The sequence below is a fragment of the Homo sapiens genome, chromosome 16 (assembly GCF_000001405.40).
Source record: "Homo sapiens chromosome 16, GRCh38.p14 Primary Assembly".
NCBI classification, from domain to species: Eukaryota; Metazoa; Chordata; class Mammalia; order Primates; family Hominidae; genus Homo; species Homo sapiens.
The window spans coordinates 50,221,742-50,248,715 of record NC_000016.10 but is presented as its reverse complement, the minus strand read 5'-3'; the positions used below and the strand labels follow the sequence as shown (position 1 = coordinate 50,248,715).

The 26,974-nt window shown below is 43.8% G+C and overlaps 2 protein-coding genes across 17 annotated transcripts in view, besides 7 other annotated features; both read right to left on the bottom strand.

The window, feature by feature from the left end:
• The window catches only part of ADCY7 (adenylate cyclase 7), a 73,437-nt gene extending 69,420 nt beyond the window's left edge, over positions 1–4,017 (bottom strand). For 5 of the 7 annotated variants that reach the window (XM_047433552.1, XM_047433563.1, XM_011522837.4 and 2 more), the window contains exon 1: positions 2,513–2,546. The gene's annotated coding sequence lies outside the window, so the exon portion shown is untranslated. Of the gene's footprint in view, positions 1–2,512; positions 2,547–3,776 lie in introns of those variants that run through there. The other 2 variants (XM_047433551.1, XM_047433560.1) reach the window with 1 other exon arrangement.
• Positions 1,540–2,251: an enhancer, noted in NCBI's record as "H3K27ac-H3K4me1 hESC enhancer chr16:50280376-50281087 (GRCh37/hg19 assembly coordinates)". NCBI's record gives its function as "activates a minimal SCP1, AML or CMV promoter by ChIP-STARR-seq in naive H9 embryonic stem cells {active_cell/tissue: H9 hESC(naive)}" and the evidence as "EXISTENCE:reporter gene assay evidence [ECO:0000049][PMID:30033119]".
• Positions 1,540–2,409: a biological region, named in NCBI's record as "H3K27ac-H3K4me1 hESC enhancer GRCh37_chr16:50280376-50281087".
• Positions 2,030–2,089: a silencer, noted in NCBI's record as "silent region_7480". NCBI's record gives its function as "represses an Ori minimal core promoter by ATAC-STARR-seq in GM12878 lymphoblastoid cells {active_cell/tissue: GM12878}" and the evidence as "EXISTENCE:reporter gene assay evidence [ECO:0000049][PMID:35858748]".
• Positions 2,170–2,409: a silencer, noted in NCBI's record as "silent region_7479". NCBI's record gives its function as "represses an Ori minimal core promoter by ATAC-STARR-seq in GM12878 lymphoblastoid cells {active_cell/tissue: GM12878}" and the evidence as "EXISTENCE:reporter gene assay evidence [ECO:0000049][PMID:35858748]".
• Positions 2,430–2,689: a silencer, noted in NCBI's record as "silent region_7478". NCBI's record gives its function as "represses an Ori minimal core promoter by ATAC-STARR-seq in GM12878 lymphoblastoid cells {active_cell/tissue: GM12878}" and the evidence as "EXISTENCE:reporter gene assay evidence [ECO:0000049][PMID:35858748]".
• Positions 2,965–3,676: an enhancer, noted in NCBI's record as "H3K27ac-H3K4me1 hESC enhancer chr16:50278951-50279662 (GRCh37/hg19 assembly coordinates)". NCBI's record gives its function as "activates a minimal SCP1, AML or CMV promoter by ChIP-STARR-seq in naive H9 embryonic stem cells {active_cell/tissue: H9 hESC(naive)}" and the evidence as "EXISTENCE:reporter gene assay evidence [ECO:0000049][PMID:30033119]".
• Positions 3,677–4,389: an enhancer, noted in NCBI's record as "H3K27ac-H3K4me1 hESC enhancer chr16:50278238-50278950 (GRCh37/hg19 assembly coordinates)". NCBI's record gives its function as "activates a minimal SCP1, AML or CMV promoter by ChIP-STARR-seq in naive H9 embryonic stem cells {active_cell/tissue: H9 hESC(naive)}" and the evidence as "EXISTENCE:reporter gene assay evidence [ECO:0000049][PMID:30033119]".
• The window catches only part of TENT4B (terminal nucleotidyltransferase 4B), an 82,400-nt gene continuing 68,831 nt past the window's right edge, over positions 13,406–26,974 (bottom strand). For 5 of the 10 annotated variants that reach the window (NM_001365323.2, XM_011523275.4, NM_001040284.3 and 2 more), the window contains 7 exons: positions 26,282–26,410; positions 25,329–25,542; positions 23,933–24,059; positions 23,722–23,825; positions 23,431–23,618; positions 20,713–20,877; positions 13,406–19,564 (listed from right to left, as the gene is read on the bottom strand). In NM_001365323.2, coding sequence (NP_001352252.1) covers positions 19,388–19,564; positions 20,713–20,877; positions 23,431–23,618; positions 23,722–23,825; positions 23,933–24,059; positions 25,329–25,542; positions 26,282–26,410 — 1,104 coding nt within the window. In that variant the 3' untranslated portion in view covers positions 13,406–19,387. The remainder of the gene's footprint in view (positions 19,565–20,712; positions 20,878–23,430; positions 23,619–23,721; positions 23,826–23,932; positions 24,060–25,328; positions 25,543–26,281; positions 26,411–26,974) is intronic. The other 5 variants (XM_047434476.1, XM_011523276.3, NM_001040285.3 and 2 more) reach the window with 1 other exon arrangement.

Sequence of the window (26,974 nt, the reverse complement as noted above, 5' to 3'; positions counted from 1 at the left end):
TCTTGAAAATTTACCAGAGCAAACACAAAGGGAATAAAGTTTTGCTTTTCTTCCTCATTGCCGACAATTTTGAAAACACAGAAAGCACGACTAAATAAGAAAATGATCTGTCCACGAACTCCCCCAAAGATACCCTAAATTTTTATACAGGGTATCTGTAAAAAGTAACGGCCCCTGCCTACCCTTCAATGCGCAAAAGCACAGCCTAGCCTGCCTGCAGTGTGAGTGTTTGGCGTCAAAGTGCATCCACTTGGTCTCCCCTACTGGCCATGGCAGGGCCCATGCCTAACTCAGCTCTCTGCCTCCTGCCCAGACACAGGCCACCCCTTGCTGGATTCAGCAGGGATGGGGAGGAGGGGACATAGGCCCCTCTCCATCAGCAACATTCCTTTGTGCCCATCAAGAAGGGGGCTCCAAGAGGTGGGGGTCAGGAGCAAAGCCCCAGGGCTCTTCTGGGTATGGGGTACGAACAGGAAGAGGGAGAGGTGGGCGGGGCAAGGGCAGGGAATGTGTGCTGCCCGTGGTCGGGCACTCACCAGGCCCACTTGATTCTGCATTTAGGGATGGAGCTCAGGCTCGCTGATGTGGACCCAAACCAGCTCCACCAAGAACACATGAGAACAGCCCGGCTCCTTGCTACCAGACCTGTGAGGACCTCCGCTTTCTCATCTGCAAATGGGACTGGTCGTTTGGGTCCTGCCTAACTTATGATTAAAGATACAAGGGATACGCAGGGGCTTTGTAAGGGCCTGGGAAATTGGAGGGCTCCCTGGGAGGGCTCAGCAGCCTCAGCTCTCCCTGCTCTCCTCTGTAAAAAGCCCAAAAGTACCCACTCTTTTAAGCCCAAGGGCACTTAGGGCCTGTGTGGCTGCTGAGGGAAGAGGACCCAGCACCTGGGGATCCCGAACGAGCAGAGGAGAGGCAGCTTTAGAACACCTGGTCCTGCGAAGCCAGGCTCCCAGCCACAGAAGACTGCTTCAGATGGAAAAGAAACTGAATCATAAAATCAGGAGTCAAAAAGAAAGAAAGAAAGAAAGGCTGGGCACAGTGGCTCACACCTGTAATCTCAGCACTTTGGGAGGCTGACGCAGGAGGATCACTTGAGCCCGGGAGTTCAAGACTAGCCTGGACAACATAGTGAGACCATGCGTCCACCAAAAAAAAAAAAAAAAAAAATTACTAAATTAGCCAGGCGTGGTGGCGCACACCTGTAATCCCAGCTGCTACTCGGGAGGCTGAGGTGGGAGGATCACCTGAGCCTGGGAGGTGGAGGTTGCCGTAAGCCATGATTGTGCCACTGCACTTCAGCCTGGAGGACAGAGCAAGGCCCTGTTTCAAGAAAAAAAAAATCCTGCCTCCGCATATGGACCCAACTCACCATGCAGGGTTCTCACCTCTGCTCCCCAGGCCCAGTCAGCCACTCCTGTGGGGTCCCCCCATAGACCTGGAGTCTGACCCCTCCCCACAGCCTGTCCCCAGCTCCACAGCCCACAAACTCCCTTCTACAAGGGCACCTGCCCACGTTTGAAGGCATTCACTGAACCTGAGAACCCCCTCCTCTCAGGGCCCAAAGCCCCTGCCTAAGTCCCCACAGCTGTAGCCTCACCCGGAGTTCACTACAGTCCTGTTGGTCATGCATTCATTCATTCATTCATTCATTCATTCAATCTCTGGAGCATCACTCTGGACCAGGCCCGAGGGGGCTTCAGCCGACCACACAGGGTATCCTGTTCCTCATTTTAAGGGCTCTACTTCTGTCCACGGCGCCCACGTGGTCATTTCCAGCTTCAGCTCTGGGACTCAGAAAGGAGTTCCTGGCCTTTGAGGGAGGGGACCTGAGACATAAACCAGTAAAGGGAACAACTCCAATCCATGGAGAGGCTCCAGCCTCTCTCCCCTACCCGGGGTCGGCTCCCATTGTCACTTCCTCATGTGCAAGGCATCTGGGTTTCCCGGTTGGGGTCCGAGGCAGGGGCCGGGCCTGGCTCACTCTCCCCTGGACCCTGGTCCCCTTTGGCCACCGAGGGGTCCTGCTCGCTGCTGGCTCCGGCGGGAGCGCTGCAGACCCACAGCCCGGTCCTGCGCCCACAGAGGCTGCTACCCTGTGCAGTGTTTGCTTCCAACAGGCCCCGCCGCCCCGAGCCAGCCCCCTTCTGTGCCCTAAGCCAGTCGGGCTCCACCACAGGGGTCTGGGGCCGGGCGGCCTCCCTCGAGTCTCAGTCTTGTTATCGGAAAGCGGGCGCCAGCTGGGGCAGCGTCTGGGAAGCGTCTCCTGGCCGTGCCTAAGGGAGGAGGTCGTGGCCCGAGGGAGGGGTCTCGGAGCATTTCCGACCCACCCGGGCAGGAGCCGCCACCGCCGGGCACCCGCGAGGCCGGGGAAGGGCGGGCCGGGAGAGGGGCCACCCGCCCGCCTGTGTGGGGACCGCGCGGAGAGGGGCAGCGGCCACGGGCACCCCCGACCCCGGGCGCATCCCCGGCCCGCCCGCCGCGCTCCCCCGCGCCCCGCGCTCACCTGCTGCGCGCTCCCGCTCCACCGCCGCCCGAGTGGCCGCCCCAGTGGCAGCGGGCTGGCCCGGCACTCACCGCGGGCGGGGAAGGAGGAGCGGCCGCAGGCGCCCCCCGCTGGCCGCGTGTCCCAGGCCTGGGGCGCGGGGGCGGGAGCCGGGGCGGGGGGCTGGGGGCTGGGGGGCGCCCAGGAGGCCGCGTCCACCCTGCAAGCGCAGCTGTCCCCGCCCCGCCCCACCCCACCCCACCCCACCCCAGCTCCCCTAGAACCGTGGGAAAGGCGCTGCCGCGGGAGGGAGCGGCCGGGCAAGCTCGGGGCGCCGCAGGAAGGAAAGGCGTCCCAGCAGGACCTTCTCCAGGTACCGCGCGCACGTGCTGGGGAGCGCCAGGCCGGCCCCACCCCCAGAGGGAAACACTTTCTAGCAAACTCTTCCAGTGTTTCTGCCCCAGGCCTCCCCTCCCCCTGCAGGAGCGCCCGTGTTTCTGGAAGGATCCACAGACGGCGGGCCAGTGCCCTCCTCCCAAGCCGGGGGAGCTTTGGTCCCGCCTTACGTCTCACTCAGGCCTTAACCTCCTATGGCAGGGCTCAGGGGCGGGAGATGACAGCGACCACCCCTGTAGGTGTCCTCAGAAAGTAGGTGTTGTAACCTCGTTGTGATCCCTGCAACCCAGGGTGGGGCCCCAGTGTTGGCAGAAAAAAAATCTGCTCTGTTTCCAAGAAACTCAGACAGGGTGAGCAAGAAAGCCTCCTGTGAGTCACCCTGGGAGGGGCAGAGGAGGTCGTCCGCAGGAGTAATCAAGTCTACGAGGGCATTTCTCACTCGCAGACCCCCATGAATCCCGCCCTTTCCCACTGGTCTAAAGCTCCCTGGTACCCAGGAATTGGGGGTTCCCACTTCACTGAGAGGGGTTACAGAAGCACCTGTTATGCCGATTTCTCAGGTCCGACCCCCAAGGCCCTAGCAGGTCTTCATAGAAAGGGCCAGAGAGTCTGTAGTTTAACAAGCACGGAGGAAATCTATGACAAACAGGTAGCAGAAACGCTGATCTACTGGGAACCTATGGTGGAATCCTGGAGCCTGCTACCCCGGCTCACCCTAGAGGGGAGAGATCTTGGTGTGGGAGGGCGTTGCCCCCCGCGGTGGGCCTGGAACCCAGCCTCAGGCCACCCACGTTGAAACCATGCTGAGAAATCAGATGGCCGAGGCTGGAAGGTGGAGCCTCTGATTTCCACTCCAGATGGCCACAGAGAGGTCCCACCTGAGACTTACATCCCAGCAGCAGCAAGCCCTCTCGGCTTCCCGCGCTGGTCAGGCAGCTCCTCTGGGCTCGTGCAGCCCCCGGGCATCAAGCATGGTGGCATTTGGCTCTCTGGGCCGGTGCGACTCCACTACTCATCGGCCTCCCCGTGGAGGGCCCTGGCCGGGTCACTGCAGCATCCTGAGGGCTCACCCGGGAAGATCTGAGCAGCTGGGGCCTCCCTGCGCCGGTAATGGGAATCCCGGCAGCAGTGAAGAAAGGTAATAGGATCATCAGCAGAGCCAGCTTCCGAAAGCACCGCCCACCCCCGGCAGCCCCACCCCTTTAGCAGAACCTTGAAAACGAAGAAACCCACCTGTTTCCCCAAGGCCTTCAGAACAGCCAGTGCCTCAGGGTCACGGTGACCTCTGCCAAGGTCAGCCCTGGAAAGAGAGAGGGGAGCGGAGCCAGCTATGGAGGGAGGGTCCTGCTGGGACCCACACTCAGTGCTCTCCAAGCCAGGAGCCCTCAGCCCTTTCCGGTGTGTGGAACAGTGCTATGACTTCCCAGCCCGTCATCTGTGTGTCATCTTCACGCAAATCTATGAGCAAGTCTCCTGACAGCAGACAGGAAAACAGAGCTGGAGAAAGTGAGTTATACACCGTGCCTGCATAACTGCTCCCATCAGAACCTTCGGGACATATCCATCATCCCCATGGTCCTCATCGCCACTGTGGACCTGTCAGCGGGATCACCCCGTTGGATACTCAGTCCTCAATAGGGGATTCTCAAATGGTAACCAGCAACGGACTCACCCAGAGGTCTGGTGAAGGCACACATGGCTGGGCTCCACTCAGTTTCGAATTCAGCAGAACTGGGTCCGTACTGAGACTTAACTTCTGTCTCACTCCCAGGTTACGCTGATGCTGCTGGTCCTTGGCAGACTGGGTAGCAAGGCTCTAAGGCACTGGATTCCAAATAAGGCTGGAGTCCCATTCCCAGAGATTCTGGTCCTTGGGTGGGTCTGGGAATATGCAGTATTTTTAAAATCCAGGTGAGTTTAATTTGTGACAAGGATGGCACTTCAAATCAGAAAGGAAAAGGAATGGCGCCTTTTTTTTTTTTAAAGCCACAGCTGGATAAACTGGTGGCACGTGGCTGTGGTCCCAGCTACTTGGGAGGCTGAGGCAGGAGGATCGCTTGAGCCCAGGAGGTGGAGGCTGCAGTGAGTGGTGATCGCACCACTGCACCCTAGCCTGGGCAACATAGCGAGACATGGGCACACAGAACCACATCTGGTTATTTTGTTTGTTTGTAGAGACAGGGTCTCACTATGTTATCCAGGCTGGTCTCAAACTCCTGGGCACAAGTGATCCTCTTGCCTCAGCCTCCAAAGTGCTGGGTGGGATTAGAGGCATGAGTCACCTGCACCTGGCCTAAAAATTTTTTTTAATAAAAATTCGTTTAATTTTTATTTAAAAAAAATTTTACACCAGCAGTGGCATGAGCTTGTAGTCCTACCTATTGGGAGGCCAAGGCAGGAGAATCGTTTGAGCCCAGGAGTTTGAGACCAGCCTGGGCAACATAACAAGATCCCTGTCTTTTTAAAAAAACAAACAAAAACTAATAGAGGAAAGATATTTGTGTTTGAAAATGAAACCTATAAGAGAAAATACGTTAGTAATTTTGGAGTGGAGAAGTATGCATGGGAAATTGAATGCACACGGAAGAGCTGCTGTTGAAAGTTGCATGTCTCTGTCCAGATGAGGAAGTCTCCAGATGTCCACATCTAATGTGTTTGTGATTTTAATGATTTATTTATTCATTGAGACAGAGTGTTGCTCTGTCTCCCAGGCTGGAGTGCAGTGGCGCAATCTCAGCTCACCGCAACCTCCACCTCCCGGGTTCAAGCGATTTTCCTGCCTCAGCCTCCCAAGTAGCTGGGACTACAGGCGCCCACCACCACGCCCAGCTAATTTTCGTTATTTTTAGTAGAGACAGGATTTCACCATGTTGGCCATGCTGGTCTCGAACTCCTGACCTCAAATGATCCATCCACCTTGGCCTCCCAAAGTGCTGGGATTACAGCCATGAGCCACCACACCCAGCCGTGTTTATGATTTTAATTATCCACTGTGTTGATAAGCTCCAGAACGCAGTGACCTGGGGTCCCTCCTAACTTATGAGTGCCCAGTGCCCACTGCTCCAGGGCACTCTGCATGTGTTGCCCGAGTCACTTTCTGTGGTGGGCAAGAGTTTGGGGCTTTATTTCACTTGTGCAACGAGAAGATTTAAAAATTTAAAATCAACCACAACAGAAGCTAACAGTCATGTATTTCGGCCACCTTAATCCTGCCCTTCACCAGGCAATGAGAACAACAGCCAAGTAGGAGAATATAAAAGTTTCCTGAGCGGTGCCTGTCCTTTCAGTCCTTTTACAGCCTCCTGATGCATCACTACGCAGAGCGTGGCGTTAGCCTCCTCAGCCAGATGGTCCTTGCTGCCTGTCCCCGAGGAAGGAAGAGCTCCCTGCTTTCCCACACTTCCTCCAGTGGTGCTCGCCACAGGACAGAAGCTCAGTGAGTGCCTAAGCACAGGCAATACTGCTCATGAGGTTTTTTTTTTTTTTTTTTTTTGAGACAGAGTCTCTCTGTTGCCCAGGCTGGAATGCTGTGGTACGATCTTGGCTCACTGCAACCTCCACCTCCCTGGGTTCAAGCGATTCTCCTGCCTCAGCCTCCGGAGTAACTGGGATTACAGATGTCCGCCACCACCCCTGGCTGATATTTGTAGTTTTAGTAGAAATGGGTTTTCACCATGTTGGCCAGTCTGGTCTCCAACTCCTGACCTCAGGTGATCCACCCACCTTGGCCTCCCAAAGTGCTGGGATTACAGGTGTGAGGCCCCGCGCTCAACCATAATTTCTAATTAGAAAAGGGAAGAAGGCCAGGTGGCTCATGCCTGTAATCCCAATACTTTGGGAGACTGAGGCGGGCAGATCACTTGAGGCCAGGAGTTCAAGACCAGCCTGGCCAACATGGTGAAACCCCATCTCGGCTAAAAAAAAAAAAAAAAAAATACAAAAATTAGCCGGGTGTGGTGGTGCATGCCCGTAATCCCAGCTACTCAGGAGGCTGAGGCAGGAGAATTGCTTCAACCCAGGAGGTAGAGGTTGCAGTGAGCTGAAATTATGCCACTGCACTCCAGCCTGGGCAACAGAGTGAAACTCCATCTCAAAAGAAAAAAAAAAAAAGAAAATTTAAGAAGCAGCTAAGAGTGCCAGTCCTTCCCCTACCCCAGCAGGAACCGGTAAGCCTTTTCTCTGGAAGAAGGTAAAATAGACAGTCTCTGAATTGGGGAACACCAAGCCCAGCTGTGGGCAGGGCTACCCAACTGAAAACAGGAAAACTTTAAAGGCAAATTCACATGGAAGGCTGGGACACACGCCTCCCCCCACCTCACACTAGCCCTCTTCCACCCTCAGCTCCCAGGATGTTGGTGGCCCAGAGCCTTACCCCCAGGCTGGAGGAATTCTTTGGGGAACCCCACAGCCTGCTAATTCTTACAGAAGCACACCACTGACTTAGCCATATTGATTGACAGAGCTTCCCCCCAGCTCTTAAATATGTGCAGGTAACCAGGAATCACCAGAAATCCATGGACAGCCTCAACCCCACAGAGAGTCCAAAACAACAAATGAGAAAAAAGCTAACAGGGACTATGCAGGTAGACAACAACCTAACAAAATGATACCATTCATATCCTCAGAGATTCCAAACCTATATTGTAACTAGGAAACAAAATTGGATACTATTTTTTTTAACAAGGAACATCTGGGGCCAAGAAAAGGACTTGGAAAGTAAAAACATGATAACAGAAATTTAAAAACAACAGAAAGTTTGGAAGTGGAACAAAAAGTCAGAGATGGAAAATAGAGAAGAAAAGCTAAAATGAGAGGATCAGTTCAGGAGATGCAATACCTGAATAGTTATGGAGTTCCTGAGAAAACAGAAAGGAGGGGAAAAAATAATTCCAGAAGTTTCCCAGGACTGAAGGACATGCAGTACCACATCAGATGCCCCATCACATCAAGTTCCCAGTGCAGTAGATGAAAACAGACTCGCCTAACTTTCATAATAGTGACATTTCAGAACACAAAGAGGAGATCCCAAAAGTTTCAAAAAGAAAGGTTACAACTAGCTTTAGACTTCTCACAACAACGCTGGGAGTGATGAAGCAATGTTTTCAAATTCTGGAGGAAAGATGTTTTCAACTCAGGATTCTATATCCAGCCAAGCTAACAATTGAGTGTAAATGAAGAACAAAAATATTTTCGGATGTCTACTGCCTGCACGCTTCCAGAAAGCTACTGGGGGATGAGCACCAATGAAAGGAAACAGTTTATCAAGAAAGAGGGAAACATAAGACACATAGGAGAGGAGCTGCCCCATGGGATGCATGGAAGAAAAGCGTCATTTAGGATGAAGTTTGTGTGCTGGGCACAGCTGGCCAGAAACTCCAGGACAAGTGCCTCTGAGAAGATGACAGTGATAAAATACCTTATGTGCTAAGCATTTGGAGGGGCTTAGAACATTGGCATAGTTTAGGGGGAATTAGTAAACAACATGGAAAAGAAAAACTCAGGAAAAACAAAAAGAACTTGCACGGAAAAAGAAATATTACACAGTTCAGGCTGGGCACAGTGGCTCACACCTGTAATCCCAGCACTTTGGGAGGCCAAGGCGGGTGGATCACTTGAGGCCAGGAGTTTGAGGCCAGCCTGGCCAATATAGTGAAACCCCATCTCTACTAAAAATACAAAAATTAGCTGGGCATGGTGGTACATGCCTGTAATCCCAGCTACTCAGGAGGCTGAGGAGGGAGAATTGCTTGAATCCAGGAGGCGGAGGTTGCAGTGAGCTGAGATCACCCTGCTGCACTCCCACCTGGGCGACAGAGCAAGATTCTGTCTCAAAAAAAAAAAACCAAAAAACAAAAAACAAAAAAAATCAGACAGTGAGGCAGGGAGGATCACTAGGGCCCAGGAGGTTGAGGTTGCAGTGAGCCTTGATTGCACCACTGCAGTCTAGCCTGGGCAACAGAGCAAGACCCTGCCTCAAAAAAAATTTAAAATGATAAATAAAGAAATATTACACAGCTCAGTTGATAAGAACAGCCCTTACACAGTCACTATAATGTGAACACTGACTATTGAGCTAAACGAAATTCATTTTAACTCTATTGGGAGGCTAGGGCACAGAAGCAGTTCAGGGGTGGCAGGAAGTCAACACAATTTCAAGAACTAAAAATCAAGAATCAAGACGTGGCAATAGAGGTCTATTATTTAGAGACATGGAGGTAAACACAGCACCTCAGAAAAACACAAAAAGTTGGAAATAGCTGCCTTAGAAAAGGGGGAAAGTAGAAGGAGGGATGGGGGACAAAGTGCTTGTAGTCCCAGCTGCTTGGGAGACTGAGGTGGGAGGATGGCTTGGGCCCAGGATCTCCAGACTATAGTGTGCTATGATAGCACCTATGAATAGCCACTGAACTGCAGCCTGGGCAAGACAGCCAGACTTATCTATTTAAAAAAAATAAAATAAAACACTATTTGTGTTTAAACTGTGACAAAACTGGTGCCCTAGTCCTATCCACCTGCTTTCACCTGTCTTGGCAGGGCCCAGCCCACCTCCCCAGCACCTCTGCAGCCCTCCCTGTGCCCTGCCGTGTTGCTTAAGCACCTGTCTCAACAGGCTTCCCTGTGCCACCTGCTAACCTCACATCTCCCTGCAGAGACATCTTAGGCACTGATGTCTGGCACGTGAAAGCACAATTTTCTTAAATTGGACTCTTAAAAACAAAGATGTGTGGCGTAACCCACCTTGTGACTATTTTGAAGGGTGCTGTGGAAAGCCACATTCCCGAGGCCACCTGTTGAGTGATTTAAGTACCAAAGTGGTTTACAATCTAAATTGAGCAATAACTCTTTTGAAAATTGATACACCATTTAAATAAGCCACTTGCTACTTTTAATAACTCTCTCCTTTCCTTTTAATGTTGACATTAAACATTAAGGCATTTTTACCTCTAGTCTCAGCTGTGCGTTGGATGGTTCCTCTTCAACAAAATTTTACTCTCACATTTTCAAATAGTAGTTACTTGCTTTAACACACACATGCACTTGCACACACATACATAATTATATATTGTCAATTTACAATACAAGAAAAAAGGTCTTCTGCAACACACACACACAAATTTATACTACTTCTCAAATGAATTATTAGATTATTAGTTTGGGTTTAACATGGTTTCTTTAGACAAGCAAGAAATATAAAGCATTTTACTTGAAAGGTTAAAAGGTGAAATTCTTCCAACTTCAAAGTCAAAGATTGCATTCCTAAGCCAAACTGGTAAACATAGTACATCTCATAATGCACTTACTGAGCTGAGTGTGGTGGCACATGCCTGTCATCCCAGCTACTTAGGAGGCCGAGGCAGGAGGATCACTTAAGCCCAGCAGTTCGAGGCCAGCCTGGGCAACACAGGGAGAACCCCAGCCCCGAGAAAAGACTTTTCCAAAGAATAGAAATTACAGCAGAAATTCTTTTTTTTTTTTTTTGGGGGGGGGACAGAGTCTTTGTCACTCAGGCTGGAGTGCAGTGGTGTGATCTCGGTTCGCTGCCACCTCAGCCTCCCAGGTTCAAGCGATTCTCCTGCCTCAGCCTCCTGAGTAGCTGGGATTACAGGCACGTGCCACCACACCCAGCTAATTTTTGTATTTTTAGTAGAGACAGGGTTTCACCATGTTGGCCAGGCTAGTCTCGAACTCTTGATCTCAAGTGATCCACCCGCCTCAGCCTCTCAAAGTGCTGGGATTACAGGCGTGAGCCATCACACCCGGCCAATTAAAGCAGAAATTCTACAGTCACATAATGAGAGCCTAAGAAAGTGATTTTAAGGAAAATATCTCCTTAAAAACCTATCATTGCACTGCTCTGGCTTAGGGAGATCAGTCCCACAGCTACATTTTATCCTCCTCTCTTTTCCAACATATTTTCCCACAGATTTTCCCAACAAAATCTGAGGCAGTACTCTGCCTTCTCTGTCCCCCAAAACTGGATTCTTTTTCTCACCTGAGTTCCGTCCCTCTACTCATCATAAAATTAATTCCATCCTACTTTTTTTTGATAACTTATTTGTTTTCTTTTAGAGACAGGGTTTCACTCTGTCACCCAGGCTGGAGTGCAGTGGCACCATCGTAGCTCACTGCAGCCTCCAACTTCTAGGCTTAAGCAGTCCTCCAGCCTGTCTTCTGAGTAGCTGGGACTACACGCGAATGCCACCACACCTGGCTAAGACAGGTAACTTATTTTCAGTGGGAGTTTTAATTGTTGCTGCTGCAGTTATTGGAGGGTCTTGAAATTAAAAGATTTTTAAGGGGTACGTGGTGAATGACCAATGTAACTGTTTCATCAGTTTTGCCAAGGGTGACATATTCTAAAAAGTGGAAATAAAGTATAGAAAAAATAGCAAAGCACTGTTTCAGATGACCATGTTATATTTATAACATTTAAACCTAGCAAAAATATCAAATGAAACAGTTTTCAAAGCAAGTCATGAAAATTCAACTTAAAAGAATGTAAAACCGGCCAGGTGTGGTGATGCATGCCTGTAATCCCAGCAATTTGGGAGGCCAAGATGAGCAGATCACTTGAGGCCAGGAGTTCCTGGGCAACATGGTGAGACCGCGCCCCCGCCCCATCTCTTCACTTTTCTTTTTTTTTTTTTTTTTTCAGACAGAATCTCTGTCTCAAAGAGTCTCTGTTGCCCAGGCTGGAGTGCAGTGATGTGATCTCAGCTCTGTGCAACCTCTGACTCCTGGGTTCAAGCGAATGTCCTGCCTCAGCCTCCAGAGTAGCGGGACTATGTGCACATGCCACCACATCCAGCTAATTTTAGTATTTTTTAATAGAGATGGGTTTTCACCATGTTGCCTAGGCTGGTCTTGAACTCCTGGCCTCAAGCGATCCTCCCACCTTGGCCTCCCGAAGTGCAGGATTACAGGCATGAGCCACCATGCCTGGCCAAAAAAAAAATTTTTTTTACATGTAAAACTGTGGGAAAGTTTTTTTCCTTAGTAAAATGGGTTCAGAAGAAAATTGTCATCAAATAGCAGTACTTTAGAAAATCCCTATTCAAGGTAAGCTGATGCAGTAAGCCTGGGCAACAGAGCAAGACCCTCTCTCTAAAAACAAAAGGGAAGCTGAAAAATACTGGATATTTCTATTAATTTGTTAGCTTTGATGTGTCTGACACATTAATTTACCAAAGCAACTTGCAAGCTAAAGTCAGCATAATAAAAAGGAAATGAAATATATCTCCATGTGTACTGACCTGGAAACACATCTTTATATGGTAAGGGAGTTGCAGAAAACTACAATACGATCCCATTTGTGTTAAAGGATAAAAGACCCCCTAAAATTATACTTGTTCATGTGTACAAATGCATAGAAAAAAAATCTAGGATACGTCCCATAATATTAAGATGGATGGGTTTGGGTTGATGAGTGGGATTAGGGATTGAAGTGCAGCTAGATCCTTTTACTTAAGTGTTTACATTTCTTCACAATAAAACATACATTCATATGTTACTTGTGAAATAATTCACTATGTCTAGGTAGATGGACAAAATTGTCATGGATATTCAGTTCATTCTCTACTATCATATTTGAGAAACTTTTGGGATAATATTTCGAAGGATTTTGCTTTTTTTTGCCTTTTTTAAGTGAGCACTTGCAGCAGAGGTTTAAGCAGCAGCAATCGGCCAGGTGTGGTGGCTCACACCTGTAGTCCCAGCACTTTGGGAGGCCAAGGTGGGCAGATCACTTGAGCCCAGGAGGTTGAGGCTACGGTAAGCTGGAATGGCACCACTGCACTCCAGCCTAGATGACAGAGTGAGACCCTGTCTCAAGAAAAAAAAGGGGGGGAAAAAAAAGACATCGCGCTGGAGTGGGCAGTCTGGTTTCACCCGCCAGTTGTCTACATGCTGCTGAGCACCTTCACTCTAAGCCAGTTTGGGACTATCTTACAGGAAACTATCCAGGATTTTTTTTTGGCCACCGCTCAGCTGGGTCCCAGGCAGACAGACCAGTCTAAACCAAATCCTCCCCTGCTGAGGGAGAATTCTGAGACACGCCTTAGGCTGCACTTTGGTTACTAACCCTGCCTCTCTCGGTTCTCTGGAGAACTATTTTCATTATTCTGTTGTAATGATCTGTTACTTGTTGCTCTGCCCAACCTATGGTAATGCATTTCATTTTCTTAGTATAGCAGGCATAATCCCCTGCATTAAAGTAGAGGGTGAAACTGGGCTGGTATTTGTGAATAACCAAATTCTATGAGATCAATTTCTATAATCTTCCATGGCTGTTGTGGGGGCCAAATATTGTCTAGGACAGAGTAGGATGAAAACAGCATCCTCAAGCATCTCCCAGTACTAGCATTAAAAAGGATGAGAACTAGCTTAGAGATCCAGCTTAGAGAACCAGCCACAGAAATGCCATATGTGCACAAGAAAACCTGCCTAAACAGAGCTGTCTTTAAATTTTTTTTAGAAAAAGTAGTCATTCAGGTTTTACATAAGGGCTCATACCAGTGGTTTTGAAGATAAATGAAAACACAAAGCCTTTATTGAATTGCAGATTATGAATAATAAACCGAGTGGTAAGCACTAGAGGCCGATGTGCATAGAAATGCAATTTATAAAATTTCCAAGGCAAATAATTGACATCTTTGAAGAAACTGTCATTAGCTTAAAAAATCTTCCAGGTGTGCAATTCATTCATAGTTTTCATCACTGGTTGCCCAGTGATACGGCCTCAGGAAATGTTGAGATTTCTTAAATCACTTGTATCAAATATCTTTTTCTGGTAAATTCCTTAGTGTCTCTGCAGTGGTAACTAGACAAGATTGGAAAGTTTTCAAGATGATTCAAACCTCCAGCACCTCACAGGAGTCCACATTTCTTAACACTGAAGACAATGCTAATCAAAGAAGGAAATACATAAAAAGGTTACTAAAAACAAATACTGGCTTCACCAAAGTTTCTAAATACACGTTATCTATGTATATTCCACTAAAAATGTTTAACTCAACAGTCCTTCACACTTTATATCCAGAAACTACACTGGTCGTCCCTCACTTTTCACCCATAACAATGTGTGTTAAGGCAGTGCTGCTTTTTAGTAGTAAAGACTGGAGACTCTTGACACGTCTAACAAACAAGCTTGTGATTTATTTTAGGATTGTAGGACTTTCAAAAGACTTTTTTAAAGTGACTTCTGTAAGTTTCAATATGCAAAAATCAGAGAGGATCTTAAAATTAGGAGATTAAGTTCAGGGACAAAACAACATATTATAATAAATTGCAACTAAATATAAAAGGTAATAATGAAATGGTCTTAGGGAAGAACTATGAATAGCACAGAACCCAAACTGAAAGATGAAGAAAAATATTAACTCCAAGAATGTGGCTGATAACCCATCATTTCACTCTCTTTGAAAGGCATGGCCTAACCTCTAAGAGGCAAGTACTGAACTTCACCAAGTTGCTGGCTTTGGAGAATGCTTTTCCAAGTCCTCCTTTCCCTCCCCTACCCAATTCCACCACACCTCACCATTCAGGTTTTTGTTTGTTTTTTTAAGAGATGAAGGTCTCAAACTCCCAGCCTCAAGCCATCCTCCCGCTTCGGCCTCCCAAAGTGCTGGGATTACAGGCGTGAGCCACCATGCCCGGCCTGAGCAACTTGTTTACTTCATAGTTTCTCACTGGTACTATATGCGTTTTGTTTCTAGGCATCTTTAAGATAAATAACATTCCCCCAAAATACGTCCAGACTGTCCTTAGGAGAGACCTTCCATGTTACCAGGCCACACAGAAGCTGGTGTAGTGAAAGGTAGCTCAGTGGTGAAGCCACAAAGACGTTAAGTTAAAATGTGGAACTAGAGATGATATGCAACTACTAATAAAAATGTTCACTGAAATACACAAGAGAACACCTGATTTCCACATCATTAGCTGTTCTTATTGACATAGCTAAAATATCTCTCAGTAAATCCAGGAGCTACCACAAATGTGTAATAACCAAAGGGAATGCACTACATCCATCTCTCTGGTTCTGTCTCCTTTTCTTTCAGGCTACTAGGCTACAGACAAGGTTAAACTCAATAAAGTACACACTTAAGTAGAAAATGTAAAGGCCAAACACATTTTTTTTAAAAAAACCAAAAACCTGAGAGACAGTAAAATAAACATTAGCAGTTTATTAACTAAAAACTGTCCTCAAATATTTAATTCTAGGTATCAAATAGATCAGCAGCCTTTATAAGCAATTTTTCTGGTTAATAATTTTGTCAACATTCAACGTCTATATATATTTAGCTCATTATCTTTGACCAAAAAAAAAAGAAAAGTCGCTAAGGGTGTGAAGTCAAGATGGCTTAGAACAAGATGACTGAGAAAAAGGCTTCCAGTTAGGTCAAGTTTTCAAATCATGTAAATAACTTCTACAGTAAAATCTGGCTTCTTAGCTATGTTAAATATCGAGAAGCATATTAAAATTTGATCTTTAACACTTATTCTACCCACAAATGTTTTGACAAGATGGCAGGTAGCTAGAGTCTTGAGGGTCAGAAACCAAGGCAAGATGAACTCTTTTAAGGAATTTCATATATAAATCTTTGTTCCCACTTTAATGCTGGAATGTTAACATCATTCTCTAAATATTTTACTAGATGAACTATGACCCTGATGAAAATTACTATCAACAGTAACTACTAAATATAACTTTTATATTCAATTAGGTTTGTTAGACGCATTTATAGAATATTTTGCTCATAAAATACTTTGAGAATGTGCCTTTCCAATAACTGAAAGTTTAATGAACTAGGAGAACAAGAATAGATGGGTAAGAATAAATTCTTCTGTTCATTAATTTTAACATTTCAATATTTATCACAGCAAAATTGGGAATGTATTTTTGATAGTTTACCATTTAGTTTTGACTGTGAAGCAACCAACTGCCTAGAAACATTCTTGGTTAGTGACAGAAACACTGAGAAATCAACATATTAGAATTCAAGGAACTGATCAAACTATAGATCAATATTAAAGTAAAACTGAGATGTAGTCATGACCAATAAAAGTATCAGCAACATCTACCACTAATACCTAATAATGGTGATTTCTAACAGATCAACCTTAATAACTACACCTCCTAGTCACTGGAGAGGGCTTTGCAATGAACATGTCACAGCAAGAGAATCCTGCACGTCACGGTGGTCATTACTCTTTTCTGACCCTCTAGTGTTTCCAGAAACCCCAAACACTAGTCCACAGGTTCAGGCAAACACAAGTCACACTTACCATTTCATGGGGGAGGGAAGGAGCAGAAAACACATGGAGAGATATAAGGTTCCAGCAGAAAAAGACAATTAAAAATGCTCACCCTATAGCCCATGTTTTGCCCTGTGCAGATCTAGGAATATCTGGAGCCAAATCAAATAACCTAAATATTAATGAGGCTCAAAATGCAAGTAAAGGTAAAGTACACTCAAAACAGGATAAAAATAAAACAGAATCAACTGTTGAAGACTGGAGGGCAATTACTTGTAAAAAACATAGGTCCTACAGATCCAAGCTAGATTTGAAAACTGAGTGCGACATCTCCAAACCAAACAAAGACATTCAAAACCAGGCACCTTCACAGTCACCTTAAAGCTGGAGGGAAAAAATGGATATACTTTTATCATCAAAACATAACCAGTAAGATTTTGTGCTGACACCTCACCAACCCATCAGCTCCTCTAAAAAACAGTCTTTAAATATTAATATTTCTAATGGCCAGGTACACATACATGACTGCCTGAGAAATGTCACCAGAGTGAGGGAGAATTTGTAAAATCCCATTCAACAAGTATTAGCAAAGGAAGGTTATGATTCATGGATATGAATGGACTCTAATATATAAATGACACATTTCTGATATATTCACAAAATATAGGAAGTATTAAAACTCAAAAAAGAAATAAGATAGGAGTCAAATAGATGAAATGTATAAAACAAATGAGCAGGCAAACTAAAAGTTCTTGAAAGTATTTTACTTCAGATTGAAAAATGAACAGCTTCCACACTGTTCACTGCAAGATACACAGTATTCACGAATACAATGCTGGTCATTTGAGGAAATGTATACACACCTCAATTTCTCCTTCATGCTTTTTTCTTTTAGAAAGATACTGTTTACCAAAAAGAAACTTCAGCAGTACAGGAAAAACTATTTTCCCAATAAATTTACGAAAACCTAAGATTCCCAATGGAATCAGAATTATCTTCCCGCTACCACCACCTTAATATAATCACATGCTTATTGGAACACTAATATTCGCACCCTAAGAGTACATTTACTTTCAACAATGAGGGTGATTCTTTAAAAACAAACAAAAAACAACAAAAAAAACTTCAGTGTGGTAAATGTAACATAGATCTCTGCAAGTATTAAGTGTCTGAAATAGGCAGCTAATACTGGATTTAATATTATTTTATAAATAATTGTTCCCTTAGCAGTAAACATAAGTCTACACATTCACAATTGTCCTAGAAAATAAATACTGTGATTATGCACAATGTTATGACAAACTAGTTTCAAAAACAAAAGCTCAACATCTCAATAAAAATTCTGATCAGAATAAAATGTGACTCTAAAATTTAAAACATTGTCAAAATAACATCACATTTGAAATCTTCCACAGTTTACACGAGTACTATGAGTTTCCAGTTTTGGAACACATTTTTCCATTGTGAATTAAAATATGAACATATTGAAAATTGTTAATTTCAGTGATGACATCAGTTTTGGTCTTACTTTAGCATTATTTTCTTTATAAAAAGTTACACTAAGTGTCCATTAATGGTCTGATTGGTCTTCAGTATTTCATAAATGTATATAAAAGAAACTCCTAAAAGCCAATAGTACTTTATATGTATATATATATAAAAGAATCTCGTCTCAGAAATGGCTGCATTTAACAGAGCCATACACATTGATGCTAAACATAAGAGCTTTCACCCTGAAAGAAAGCATTTTCAGAAATGTCACTTACATTCTATTATATTAAATATTCCCAACTGAGTTTCAAACTCAACAGGTAATGATAACAGAATTATACATCTCATTGCACTCAAAGCTGACTACAACCAAAATTTACAGTATGATTGAAACAAGCCAATGTTTAAAAAAGTTTTAATTAACGATAACAATTCCATGAAAGAAGAGGATAAAGAATGGGATGACAAGAAGTATTTGGTCTTAATAAGGCAATACAAAATAGATCCATTATCAAAGACCATTTAATTTGTAAAGATCAACAATACCAAAAGCATAGAGTGGAATATAAGAAAATAGTTTTTTATAAGTATGATTTAATTAAAGCTGTTTACAGTTATTCTCCCACAGTAGTTAAGCATGAATTTTAAAAAGAATAAGAGATGAGAAACAGGCACACGCAGCACACAGGGTTAGAGAAGCCAGCATGCAAAGTCTGTGGAACTCGAAGTTTCACTGCAACAGGAATGAGACCAGACATGGGTGACCTTTTTTTTTTTTTTTTTCCTATTAGGAAGAAATGGGGGGAAAAAAAAAAGACTGCAAAGGAAGCAAACACAAAGTCATGTAATTGCCCATTGCCCAAGACGACAGCACTATAGAAAACAGTTGCAAGTTAATTCTCGGAGATGACCAGAGATTTTTCAGTGTTTACACAAAAGTACATAGTACATTTTTTTTTTTTTACAAAATAAAATAAACATCATTTGCCACCATAAACCTTTTCTTTAGAGAGGAAAAATTTTTGCAGCAGGACACAAGGGTTCTATTAAGTCATTTCAATGCTGAGAAAAACAAATTGAGTAATAGAACTAATCACTTCCCTATATATGGATGTTAAGATGACAATTTAGATTATTTTTCAAACTAATCCTGAGAAAAAATCTGTTTACAATTTAAACAGTAATGTTATGTAAAAAGTATTATTAACAAATCCACTATTACAAATATCAATCTCCTATATGGTCTTCTATATATACACACAATAAAATGGTAAATATATGCAAAAATATTTAAAAAAAAAACATGCACAGATCACTTTCCCCTTTGGAATCTGGACTTCCTATCAGATACCTTTGTTTTCCTTCCCCACCTCATCCTCTGATACTGTTTTTTGTTTCTATCACCCTACCAACACTGAATACTATTCCCTATAACTCTGCATAAAGCCAATGAGAAATATATTTATTTTACATTCAAGCTTTAAATCTTAAAATGACCCTGTTGTAGCATATGACTTATCAAATAAGCAGCCTTTTTTTTCCCTCTTTTTTGCTTGCTTTTTTTTTTGTTTTGTTTTGTTTTTTTTGCAGTTGTCAGTCTTCATGATCCATTCTGTGGCGAGCTGGGAAAAAACGCAGTTGCTAAGTCAACGTCTGAACAGTGTGAGGCTCCTGAATATCTCCCAGGAGTCCCTGCGCAACTGTCCTGAGCATGAGATCATTGCACAGAGAAGACAGTCCACCGCGCAGCGCTGACTATCTACAGAGGTCTGAGAGGGGCGCGTCCCTCTTGTGTTTCCTCTTTTTGCCATGGTAATACTGATTATTGGATTTGCCTTGATGTTGTTTGTTTGTCATCAAGGAACCATGGCTTGTTTGAGTTGTACCTTGGAAGCCTTTGCTGGAAGAACGAAAGAGCCTTGCTGATCCATGCTGCAGAAACAGAAAACGACCACAAAGACATCAGTATTGCAGAAAAGCAGAGTGTTCTCAAACACCTGGATTTGGGGAAGCTTTCAAAACTAGGAATATGCTGGCTAGATTGTTACCTTACTGATCACTGACTTATCTAGTGGGCAGAAAAAGCTGTTACAGGGGTTCTTTTTAGCTCTAAAACCCTTACTTTATTTTAATGGAAATAATGAAAAGCATAGACCACTCGCCCGCCTTCTTAACAGTGTGTGGGATGCAAAGGTTTTCTTAAGAAACTTACCAACCCAAACACCACATCATAAGTGACAGAGCGGGAAGAGGCTCTTGGGCATGACAGGCACACTGGTAGGTTTGGGTCAGCACAGGTGGCTACTCCCTTCCTGCTACTCATGGCCTGTGGCTTTCTCGTGACCTCAGTCCCTTCTGTCAACCCTGTCACTTGAACTGGTATTTTGTGATAAGTCTGTGTCTGGCATACATGGCTAAGGCCGCGTAGGTAAAGTGAACTCAGTGAGTCAAATCAGACACAAGGTTACAGCCAAGAGGCCTATTCCCAGGTTCCCAGCTATAGTGAGGAGTGACCCAGCCTTAGGCCAGAGCCCCATATCAATGGCTTCCTCCCCTCACTCTGAGTCATTACTCAGTTAATGACAATTCTAGGCAACAAAAAAACTTAAACTAGAGTATCTCTGTGGCCTTTTAAGTCCAAGCTAATGTTAATCAACTGACCACGCCTGACAGCCAGCTGATCATTTCAACACCAGCAACAAGGTATTGAACATTAAAATATTAGAAAAGGATACATTATTCCCAGATATGCACACTGCCATGAGGCCTCACAAAACCTTCATGCCAGCTTATTTCATGTACAACTGAGACACTTTTTATATGGTAGTTTGGCTGGAACATCTTATAAGGACCAGTCAATAGATTCCTGAAGAGATTTATGTTACAATGGTGTCTCACAAGGATCCTTAGGACATCCTGTTCCTAGAAGCACTGTCATGTGTTGGAACCTCTTAGAATAAAATAAGTTTGTTCTTCAATCTAGCGTTTTCTTCAAACCCATGCTGCATATTATTTACATGTGGGAAATTCTAAATATTTTGTATCAAATACTAACAATTAAAAACCCACGTTCCACACACCTGAGATTTGTTGGTGCTGTTGGATGTGTTAGTGGTTTGGGTGCTTTGCATTTTCCCAACTGCCTGAGAGGACTCCAAGGATACATCTTGCGACCCTACTCGGTTCCCAGTGGACGGACGGCAAAGCAGCTGTTTCGGGGTTTTGCATGGTGTTGCATCGGAATCCTAACACAAGTCACGTGAGTTATAATGTGACATATTAGTAATTTAGATACTCAATATTCAGAAAGAAAAACAATTTTGGTTAAAGTACTCTCTGGACTAAATTTAAACATTTGGGAGTTAAAAGAAGCACACAAAAAATTAACTGTTTGTTTAAATTTTCCTCCAAACATTTAAAATGACTGATTTTATCAGAGAGCTTCTGTTCATTGTTAAATCCACTGCCCACATCTGACCTTGAAGGAGCTCACAGAGGTCTAAGTTTATTTGTTTTTTTATTTATAGAAAATGAAAGAGTATGGTAAAGAGTGAGGAACCTAGGTCCTAGTCCCTGGCTTCAGCCAGACACAAGATGATGGGTTTAAGGGGTTCAATCTCTGAGAGTCTGTGATGACAAATCAGTGATCATTCTAACCAAACATACTGGTGTGGGTGGGGGTGGACTTCCCGCGACAGTGGGCTGAGCTCCACCTATTTCTGGGCTGCATGGGCCATGACAATGCTACGTCTCTCTGCAGGTCTCCACCCTGGCCCTGGCACTCTACCCAGCATGTCAGAGTCACATTCTCTCAGTCCCCAACACTCCATCTCCCTGTGTCTGTGACATCTAGCTTGGCTTCTGTCCTCCAAAGCATACTGCTCTAGGAACCAAAAAAGCACACAGGGAGATTCTGCACAGGAGGATTTATGATTCCATATTGACACATGGTCATCATCAACAACATACAATATTTAGATTACTTTTCATGTCCTACACTTAATAAAGTTAAACTCAAACAGGTAAGCCTGCTTTAGATCTCAAATCAGTACACTACAAATTCACTTTGATTTTAAAAGGTAACTTACATTATAATTGACACATAAATTCTATCAGGATGGGGGAACAAAAAAAATTCTATCAGGATAGAAAGAGAAAGTAGATTAGAGGTTACCAGAGGTTAAGGGAGGGAAGGAAGAATTAGAAGAAACTACTGCTAAATGCAGGGTTTCTTCTTGGGGTGATGGAAATGTTCTAGAATTACTGGAGATGGCTGCACAACATTGTGAATATGTTCTAAAAACCACTGAATTGTACATTTTTAATGCTGAATTTTATGTTAACTATATCTCAACTAAAAAAAAATTTGGCCAGGCGTGGTGGCTCACGCCTGTAATCCCAGCACTTTGGGAGGCCGAGGCAGTCGGATCATGAGGTCAGGCGATCAAGACCACGGTGAAACCCTGGCTCTACTAAAAATACAAAAAATTAGCCGGGTGTGGTGGCGGGCACCTGTAGTCCCAGCTACTTGGGAGGCTGAGGCAGAATGGCATGAACCCGGGAGGCGGAGCTTGCAGTGAGCCAAGATCGCGCCACTGCACTCCAGCCTGGGCGACAGAGCGAGACTCCGTCTCAAAAAACAAAACAAAACAACAACAACAAAAAATTCAACCAGAAAGCTGAAAAAAAATTGAGTGAAAGAAGCCTTACACAAGACTATATTCTATGTGGTTCCATTTGTATGAAATTCTGAAACAGGCAAAACTAACTATGGTGTTAAAAAGTCATAACAGCTGGGCTCACGCCTGTAATCCCAGCACTTTGGGAGGCTGAGGCGGGTGGATCTCTTGAGGTCAGGAATTCGAGACCAGCCTGGCCAACATGGTGAAACCCCATCTCTACTAAAAATACAAAAAATTAGCTGGGTGTGGTGGCACATGCCTGTAATCCTAGATACTCAGGAGGCTGAGGCAGGAGAATCGCTTGAACCCAGGAGGCGAAGGTTGAGGTGAGTGAAGATCATGCCATTACATTCCAGCCTGGGTGACAGAGCAAGACTCCGTCTCAAAAAAAAGAAAAGAAAAGAAAAGAAAAACGTTAAAGGCCAGGTGTGGTGGCTCATGCCTGTAATCCCAGCAATTTAGGAGGTTGAGGCGGGTGGATCACAAGATCAGGAGTTCAGGACCAGCCTGACCAACATGGTGAAACCCCGTCTCTACTAAAAATACAAAAAATTAGCTGGGTATGGTGGTACGCACCTGTAATCCCAGCTACTCAGGAGGTTGAGGCAGGAGAATCGTTTGAACATGGGAGGCGGAGGTTGCAGTGAGCCGAGATCATACCACTGCACTCCAGCCTGGGTGACAGAGGGAGATCCCGTCTCAAAAAAAAAAAAAAGGAAAAAACAATAAACAAATACTGGAGTCTGGCTACAAGGATGCACAAGCTACAGTACTCTAGGGGAACTGATGTCTGTAATCTACTTTGAAATGGATCAAAGAATAAGATGAATTAATGGATAGAGTGATGGATAGACAGGTATGACATAAGCAAGTAAAAGGTTAATAGCAGAATCTACTGGTGAGTACATGAATGCTCACTAAAATTTGTTCACTTTTACTATATGCTTGAACTTTTTCATAACAAAATGTTGAGAAAATGTACAAGCATGAAAGTTATTAAAATATCCCAGTAACATGTAAGCAAAGGAAGTAGCCTTAGCCTTCGAGACAGTGTTAACCCCAGCAAGAGAACGTGCATGCATCTGAGTTCAGAAGAGCCGAGGCTTTCATACTTACTACATCACTAGAGCTGGACTGTGTGGCAGAAGAGGACGACACTGGACCTGATGAAGAGTTTGAAGAGTGTTTACTAAGAGATTCCGAGGTTTTACTTCTACATTTTCCAAGGGCTTCATTTTCTTCAGATAGATTATTATTACATTTATCTAACTGCTGAGTATCTACTATCAAGGTAACACCATTTCCTGAAAGAGTGGCAAAAGATTGGAAAACGTTTCTTCCCATTAAACGCACACAACACAGAAAAGCCTCTAATACTCAGTCAATCGACCAAGGAAAATATCTTACCATTGCATGAAGGCTCAGGTCTATTCTTCAAGCCCCACTGCTTTGATATCCAATCTCTATATGTGGCAACTTCATCTGTTACTCTAATTATTCTACCTAGTATGCTGCATGTGTTTAAAAAGAAAGGGAGAGGGAGGGAATAACATTAATTTGAAGATAAGAAGCCACAACTAATTTTGACACAATGGGCTGGTTATAGATGAACTTTTACCTTTCTGTTTCATTGTTGGGATAGTACTTTGCTATTGGTGATACAGCATGACTCAAAACAACGTAGGCATAATCAAAGGCCTGCTTCACTTGCATGGCCCCATATGAACTCCTTCCAACATCGTTACCTTTAAAAGAAATATACGTAACATAGTAAGCCTGACTGTGCTTAATATGCACTAAATGTTGATGACTCTCTTCCAGGAGAGCAAGGGCCATAGTTATCCCACCAGAGTTGTGCCTGGAAGCTGAGCTGTGAGCTGTCCCCAAAGCTCCCCAGTCTCTGAATATGTGAATCATGCAGTTGGTACTTCATTATGGTGTATCAGTTGCCGGAATGTATTCTGGCCCATCAAGAATTATCCCATTCCATACATAAACAGTTATGCAAACAAAAGAAATAGTGCCCTGTTCACTCCTAAGAGTGAAACCCCAAGTTACATCAGAAATACTTCTATATTTTTTGGGTTTATATTAGCTATATATCTATTTCTCACTCTAAATTATGAGCCCCTAAAAAGCAAGGATCGTCTTGCTGAAAAGTCTTCGTGTCCTTTGGCCCAATACTTTTGAACAGAGCAGGCTCCCAATCAATGTAATGTTTCCTCAATGAATAAACACATAGAACTATTAATGTTTATAAGGCAGCTCAATAAGCCAGAAAATGGTTCCTAGGCAACTACTCTATCTCTTCACCCCCTTTCCTTACTCATTTTCAAAGTTTACACATTAAAGCAAATGACTAAAAGCACTTCCACTGAAGTCCAATAACGCAGAATCTATTTTACAATTATATCAAGAAAAAATATTGCTCACAAAAATCAGGACACAAGCAAGCAAACAGAACTTCAGAAAAGCATGGAAGGAATTTACTTTCTGCTTACTTTCAAGCCCACATGAAGCTGGAAAAAGCACAAAGAGACATGCAAAATCAAACAGGAAAGGAGAAATTCAAAAAGAAAATACATTGTCTCCTTGCACCCTTCTGCTCATGAATTCAAAGATATATTACTATGCTTGCTGCCTCTCAGGACTTCAGAATCATCTCATTAAAGCCTCATTAATTGCTGACAATTGGTTGTAATCAAGGCAATAAGGACCCAAGAAGGAGAAACAGCCACCAAACATGAACCCATCCAAATAAGTGAATGCCTTTTCTACTATGCTTTTAGGGTTAAACAGATTCTACTCCCTACTTATCTGGAAGTCTCCAAGGTGTTTTTCTATTGTCTGTGTCTGTTTATTTTAGTATGTTTGCTCATGAAATATTTCGATGAAAAAAGAATAACAATTAGAAGTTGTTCCTTCATTTTTCATCTAAAGAGAATTTAAAGTATAATAAGGTGACTGACAGTGCCCTCTCTTTGAATGCCCACAAATTTACCTAATTTCAATACCTGGTTGTAAAGGATCTTCGATATAAAGCATTGATGGCCTGTAGCCATCTAGCATATTTTTCTGTACTTCATCTTTGGCCACATATGAACCACCATCCTTTATCCGGATGCCAGTCTTTAAATAATTGAAGTGTCGTCCATATAATTCAAAAAATTCTATTAAGAGAACACCATAGTTTGTATTGGGGATGCAAGCATCTTCCCTGGGATGTAACTAAAAGCAGAAAAGAAGAAATTATATTGGATTTTTGCTAAATTATCAAGGAGAGGGGGAATAAATTATATTCTAACTTCTACAAGCAATATTATTATAATTTTGGTTTAGCATAGCAGTCAGTTGATAATGGGCTAACAGCAGGTTATACTGTTGTTACACACAACACTAAAGTCCCATGGTGCGGGAATGGCGGGAGACTGTTTGTAAGGCTGAATTTTACGGCTGCACCAGGCTGCCAACCAGGGCTGGCTTGGCCCAACACATCAGCAAAGTCGTTCTGACTCACGAATAGACTCAGGCAGTTGGCAACCCTGTGCCACATAAACATACCCACTTACAATACTAAGACTCTAATTCGCTTACCCAAATAGCTGGTCTCAATTCCAACTAAACTTACAAGATTTAGCTGCTTAGAAGACATTCTTATTGTTGGCATTTATACTATTTATGCTTATGGAAACCAGGCCGTACATTTTGCATGTTAAAATTTGCAGTGAAAAGTCTCAAAAATACTAGAATGTATGGGATTTAAAACCAAAAATATTCTTTCATAGGAATTTAAAAATACATATTTGCTAAATGATAAAATGTACCCAGTTTAAAGGGAAAAGCCGTTAAGTAATCAAGGAAAGCAATGCAATTACAGGTTGATTTCGATTTTTTCCAAAATGTTTCCCAGCTGATTGATCACTTTTGCTTTTAGTGTGCACTAGCATGCTATACCCATATGACTTACCTGAAGGAAACTGACTGCCATTAAAAAGAGACTATAAGAACCAATTCCACCTGTAAATACTTCATTAAGGTCCCTCTGCAATAGGAATTGTTTCAATACTAAAACCAAGTATGGCAATACAGGATATTTCTGAAAAAGAAAATTGTATTTTCAATGAATTCCTGTATCAGCAACAGATCTAAGCATTAAGAGGGGCATAAATTGGTCCTTACATTATAAAATTTGGTAGAGATATACAACATACTTAATTTTCTATTTTAAGAGTAAGCTATTAAAAAAAAGTAAACTATAGGTAATGAATGGTTCTCCCCTTATACTTAAATTGTAAGACATGTACAAATGAATAATAGTATCTAAGTACTTGCTACAGGGCTGGGCATGGTGGCTCATGCCTGTAATCCTAGCACTTTGGGAGACCAAGGCGGGCAGATCACCTGAGGTCAGGAGTTCGAGACCAGCCTGGCCAACATGGTGAAACGCCTATCTCTACTAAAAATACAAAAAATAGCCAGGAGTGGTGGTGGGAGCCTGTAATCCCAGCTACTTGGGAGGCTGAGGCAGGAGAATCACTTGAACCCGGGAGGCAGAGGATGTAGTGAGGCGAGATCGTGCCATTGCACCCCAGCCTGGGTGACAGAGCAAGACTCCATCTCAAAAAAAAAAAAAAGTACTTGCTATAGGATAGAAACACTA